The sequence below is a fragment of the Homo sapiens genome, chromosome 3 (genome assembly GCF_000001405.40).
Source record: "Homo sapiens chromosome 3, GRCh38.p14 Primary Assembly".
NCBI classification, from domain to species: Eukaryota; Metazoa; Chordata; class Mammalia; order Primates; family Hominidae; genus Homo; species Homo sapiens.
Window position 1 is genome coordinate 152,873,674 of NC_000003.12, and position 6,685 is coordinate 152,880,358.

The window sequence follows — 6,685 nt, forward strand, 5'->3', positions numbered from 1 at the left end:
GTAAGTCCACAATCCAATACAGTAGTTGTTAAACCTTAAAGTTCCAAAGTGATCTCCTTTGACTCCATGTCTCACATCCAGGTCACGCTGATGCAAGAGGTGGGTTCCCATGGTCTTGGGCAGCTCCACCCCTCTGGCTTTGCAGGGTACACCTCCCTTCCTGGGTGCTTTCATGGGCTGGTGCTGAGTGTCTGTGGCTTTTCCAGGTGCATGGTGCAAGCCGTCAGTGGCTCTTCTATTTTGGGGTCTGGAGAACGGTGGACCTCTTCTCACAGCTCCACTAGGCAGAGCCCCAGTGGAGACTGTGTGTGGGGGCTCCAATCCCACATTTCCCTTCCACACTGCTCTTGTAGAGGTTTTCCACGAGGGCACTGTCCCCAGAGCCGACTTCTGCCTGAACACCCAGGCATTCCCATATAGCCTCTAAAATCTAGGTGGAGGTTCCCAGACCTGAATTCTTGACTTCTGTGCACCCACAGGCCCAACACCCTGTGTAAGTCACCAAGGCTTGGGGTTTGCACCCTCTGAAACAATGGCCTGAGCTGTATGTTGGACCTTCTTAGTCATGGCTGGAGCTGAAACAGCTGGGATGCAGGGTACCATGTTCAGAGGCTGCATAGAGCAGGGGGAACCTGGGCCCGGCCCATGAAACCATTTTTCCTTCCTAGACCTCCAGGCTTGTGATGGGAGGGGCTGCCATGAAGGTATCTGACATGCCCTGGAGACATTTTCCCCATTGTCTTGGAGATGAGCATTTGGTTCCTTGTTATTTACTGCAAATTTCTGCAGCCAGCTTGAATGTCTGCCCAGAAAATGGGTTTTTCTTTTCTACTGCGTTGTCAGGCTGCAAATTTTTCAAACTTTTGTGCTCTGTCACCTCTTGAATGCTATGCCACTAAGAAATTTCTTCCACCAGATACCCCAAATCATCTCCCTCAAGTTCAAAGTTCCACAGATCTCTAGGGCAGGGGCAAAATGCTGTCAGTCTCTTTGTATAGCAAGAGTGACCTTTACTCCAGTTTCCAACAAGTTCCTCATCTCCATCTGAGACCATCTCAGCCTGGACTTCATTGTCGATATCACTATCATCATTTTGACCGTTCAACAAGTTTCTAGGAAGTTCCAAACTTTCCCACATCTTCCTGTCCTCCTTTGAGACCTCCAAACTGTTCCAATCTCTGTCTGTTACCCAGTTCCAAAGACACTTCCACATTTTCTGGTATCTTTACAGCAGCACCCCACTCTTTCAGTACAAATTTACTGTATTAGTCCATTCTCATGCTGCTAATAAGGACATACCCAAGACTGGGTAATTTATAAAGGAAAGAAGTTTAATACATCTCCCAATTACCTCACATGGCTGAGGAGGCCTCATGATCACAGCAGAAGATGAAGGAAGAGCAAAGGCATGTCTTACATGGCAACAGGCAAGAGGGCCTGTGCAGGGGAACTGCCCTCTTATAAAAGCATCAGATCTTTTGAGACTTATTCACTATCATGAGAACAGCACAGGAAAAACCAGTCCCCATGATTCAATTACCTCCCACCAGGTCCCTCCCATGACACATGGGAATTATTACAATTGAAGGTGAGGTTTGGGTGGGGACACAGAGCTAAACCATATCATTTACTTCCTGATTTTGGCCATTTCTATGATCACTAGTAAAGGATATGGTAGAAAAGCACAAAACAGAGAAGTAGTTGTATCTTTATAGTTTACAGTTATGACCAAAAATAAAGTAAGAACTTGGAAACAGAGATGACTTATATAAAACAAGCTTTTAAAGTTTTCTGTAAACATTAATTATCCAGGGTATAGTTCAGTTGTCAAAGCTAACTAAAAATTTGGATATTATCCAACACTTTATTTACAGCAGTCTTTAACATTCTTCATCTGACTGGCTTTATAGTGTCATAGAAACTACCAAGTAAGTTAGCTTAACTTAGTCATCACCACTTTTAAGAGTGAAAATGTTAAAAACATAAAGAAAAACTTTTTAGTGAATAAGCAGTTATGGAAAAAAGTTGGTATCTTAATAAGTTAATTGAATGATTAGCTATGGTGCTCCTTTTGAGAGAGAAGAGCTTTCTTGAAATATTAATATTTTAAAACTTATACCATGTAAGATTTTTGTTATATTACTGTAAAACTTCAACCTATTACAACCTTTTCTCCTGCATTTGTTGCCCACATGTTGGCCTCTAGTTACATGTGACATAAGACAAATCTATAAAAAGTAAGACTTTTATAGTTCTTACCATGTGATAGACACTATTCCAAGAGCTTTACATATATTAAATACTTTACTGCAACATTCCTACAAGTAAGGTAGTTTTACCACCCTCATTTTACAGATGGAAAAAAAGAGGCCTAGTTAAGTATATTAGACCAAGATTTCAGAAGAGATTCAAACCCAGGCAGTCTTCTGAAGAATGCTCTCTCAACCACTACATACAAAAACCCTTTTATAAGATGAAGCTTATTAATATAATAGCTTATATATAGATAGGTAAATCTGATTTTACAATATTCAAGTGATCCATATTCTAATGAATTTTAATTTGTAAACATAGCTAAAGTCATAAATTGGAGAAACTCAGAGGTGATTTATCTGACTACCTTTAAAAGAACTGGAAAAATATACCAAATATTTCAAGGTATGTCAACTGATACATAATTCATTTACTTAAAGTTAGTACAATAGAGCCAAGTGTGGTGGCACATGCCTGTAATCCCAGCACTTTGGGAGACTGAGGCAGGAGGATCATTTGAGGTCAGGAGTTCAAGACTAGCCTGACCAACATGGTGAAACCCTGTCTCTACTAAAAATACACAAAAAAATTGGGCATGGTGGCACACACTTGTAACCTCAGCCACTTAGGAGGCTGAGGCAGGAGAATCACTTGAACCCAGGAGGCAGAGGCTGCAGTGAGCCAAGATGGTAACACTGCACCCCAGCCTGGGTGACAGAGCAAGACTCCATCTCAAAATAAATAAATAAATAAATAAATAAAGTTAGTAAAATAGTTTATAAAAATTTAAAATTATTTCTAATTTTTAAAGAAAATTCTTAGACTATATTGCATATAATGTGCAAAATAACTACTATTATAATACTGTAAATGAAATCTCAACCTGAACCAAATTCACTTTGTTATAGTTGTTTTTCTTTACTTTTATGGCATATTCAGTTATTTATGACTGATATAATGCTGAATTTACAGTTGAGAACGCACACCTTCAATTACAGCATTATGCCAATGGCAAAATACAATTCACTCTACAGTAATTCTCTCAATTCTAGTTTCTAGCCTTCACTCAATTGTGTTGCCAGAGTTAAAAGAACTGCAAAATCAATCCTCAGACCAAAATATTAAAAGAGAAGAAATTCTAGTCTTTCCATCATCTAAATGAAAAGTAAACAATTATTTCAGGCACCTCTATATTTGACATTGTGTTGACAACATATTGGGATGAAAGTATAACACGTTCAGTGTTCCTTTGGATGTTAGGGATTGGATAGATGCTGTCAACATTAGCTAAAGACTGTGGTAGAAGGTATGTATTTTGAAACACAGCTGCCAAGACAATTACCCATTTTCACTTTATCTAACCTAATCTGTGGCTTTGCCTGTCACACAACCATAATCACTAGAGAAAGTCACCTTTTATTGAGTAATAGTTGCTTGTGAAAATATCTTACCTTTTATAAGTATTGGCAATTGTGGCTAATTGCTAAAGCTAATGACTACTTTCTCAAAAACATCAAAATATCTTATTAGTATGTATTTTTGGAAGTGCAAGTGTGTTCAGTTTCTCAACTTTCACAGTGAGAAGTCAACAAATGCATTAATTCTTTTTTAAAGTAATTCCCTTCAATTTGATGTCAAGTCAACCTTAACTTTTCTGGGTAATGTAAACTGCTGCTGAAATTAGGCAGGTATGAATTTCAATCCTGATTCTATTATAGATTGTTCAGCTGGGCTGTCTTGTGTTTTTTGCACCTGCTTGCTTTCCTTTGCATTTCAAGATGTCTCAAAGGAGGATGATGTATCAACTTATTAGGAATTCTTTAACTGAATGAGTTTCAAGAGGTTTTTTGGGTTTTGTGTGTGTGTGTGTAATATGGGCTTGGTAAGTGTATAAATTACAAGCATTTAACCTTTAAAACAACTAAATCACTAAACAAAAACAGCATTTATAAGTTCAGCAATACAGGATACGGTCTGGTAGAAAAATTTTCTTACATTTAGGAAACCACTGTGTAAAACCTTAGAATTCTGAGTTAGCATCAATCTTTTTATCTTACATTATTTTGATCTCTGGAAGCCTGGTTGTCAAAAGTACCCTGTCTTAGTTTCTAACAAAGATGGACATATTTGCCTTTTCCTATCTCCACGCAAAAAGTTGGACAAATACGTAGAACTCTATCTGACCATCTGGGTTTCATTTTAACTTTTACTTTACGTTCTGGTTCTTTACCTCCTCTACCAATTATACTGAAGAAATAAAAGAAGAGAACAGTAAAATTCCTGTGAAAGAATCACTCCAGGGATCTTGGAATTTTATTGGTTATCAAGGTGAAAGGAAACTCATTCTCTGTGATATCTGAAATTACAGGACTGATAATTTAAAGCCCTTATACCAATAGTTTGTATCACATATAAAAGTCCACAGTGGAACTTGAGAGAATCCTACATGAATTTCTAACTCTTCATACACACTATCTTACTATCATAAACATTGAAAACATTATGAAATAATCTGAAATGAATATGATTAGATATGTTTTTAGTAGTAGCCTACTTGAGAAATAATATTAAACCAACAAGACTTCTTTTAAAAATGTGCAGTATCCCAAAGCTATAAGAGATAAACAAAATTGTTTCATTCCTGGCTCCAAACTCTTGGCTTTTTACTTCCTCTGTTATACCTGCCTCTGTAACTCTTGAATTTGGCACATTTTTAGACTCTTCTCCTGCCATTGTGTATATTGGTTCCTGATATGGTTTGGCTCTGTGTCGCCTTCCAAATCTCATGTTGAATTGTAATCCCCATGTGTTGAAGGAGGGGCTTGGTAGGAGGTGATTGAATCACAGGGGTGGACGTCCCTCTTGCTGTTCTTGTGACAGTGAGTGAGTCCTCATGAGATCTGGTTGTTTAAAAGTGGGTAGAACCGGCTGGGCACAGTGGCTCACGCCTGTAATCCCAGCACTTTGGGAAACTGAGGTAGGCGGATCACGAGGTTAACAGATCGAGACCATCCTGGCCAACATGGTGAAATTCCATCTCTACTAAAAATACAAAAATTAGCTGGGCATGGTGGCACGTGCCTGTAGTCCCAGCTACTCGGGAGGCTGAGGCAGGAAAATTGTTTGAACCCGGGAGGTGGAGGTTGCAGTGAGCCAAGATCGCACCACTACACTCCAGCCTAGCGACAGAGCAAGACTCTGTCTCAAAAAAAAAAAAAAAAAAAAAAAAAAAAAGTGGGTAGAACCTCTCCCTTCACTCTCCTGCTCCTGCTCCGCCATATGAAGAAGGTGCTTGCTTGCCCTCCACTTTCCGCCATGACTGTAAGTTTCCTGAGGTCTCCCCGCAACGCTTCCTGTACAGCCTGTGGAACTGTGAGTCAACGAAACCTCTTTTCTTCATAAATTACTCAGTCTCAGGTAGTTTTTTATAGCAGTGTGAGAATGAACTAATACAGTTCGCCTGCCCGTGATGACTCCTTTAACCTCACTGTCTCTCCTATCCTCAAAGGCCAGTAATTGAATTTTCTGTAAAAATAGAGGATTTGCAAAGTTTCCCTTGTGCTTCACAGACATCTTCAGAAAGAAACTTGAATTTGACATGTTCAAAACTGAATCTACTGTCATCCAAACAAGCCACATCCTTCTTTTGACTTCTATATATCAGACCACACCACCAGCATTCTTTCAGTTACCCAAACTTCTTTTCCCCTTTCTCCTCATAATGTCAAGCCATATAGGCTCCACCTCAAAATTCTCACATCCCTTTTAGCTTTTCTATTCCAAGCTCAGTAACCTCTTAACCCGTTTCCCAGCCACCAGCTCTTACCATTTCAATCAGGCCTGTGAACCACCTCTCAAATAATTATTTTAATAACAGATCCAATAATATTACTTCCTTGACAAGAAGTCCTCAATGTTTCTCATTGCCTACCAACTTAACGTAAATTCTCTCTCTGGCATTCAAGATCATCTAAAATATATCTGGCACTTATCTTGCTCTACACCTTACACCCTGATTTGGACCTTAAACTCTCACCATGCTCAATAGCCCAATCTTCTCTGAACAGACCTGAACTTTGTTCCCTTGCTGTCTTCCCCCGCCACACCCCCACTAAGAATCATCCTAGTCCCTTCTGTCCAGAACAACACTTTCCAATAGAACTTTCTGTGAGAATGGAAATGATCTACAATTTTGTGCTGATGAATACAGTAGCTGGAAGCAACATGTAATAGTTAACTCTTGGACATTTGGCTGGTGCAACTGGAGAGTTAACTTCTTAATTGTATTTGATTCTAATTAATTTAAACTTTCACATGTGGCTGGTGGCTACTGGACAGTGCAAGCCTAGATGCTGTTTTCATTTCATAGAATTTTCTCCATTCTCTAGAGGTCAACCATCTACTCTGATGCCATCACTGATTTCCCTGGTTG

At 39.2% G+C, this 6,685-nt stretch overlaps 1 annotated feature.

The window, feature by feature from the left end:
- Nucleotides 6,214-6,414: a silencer, noted in NCBI's record as "peak4864 fragment used in MPRA reporter construct". NCBI's record gives its function as "represses an SCP1 promoter by STARR-seq MPRAs in K562 erythroleukemia cells {active_cell/tissue: K562}" and the evidence as "EXISTENCE:reporter gene assay evidence [ECO:0000049][PMID:32103011]".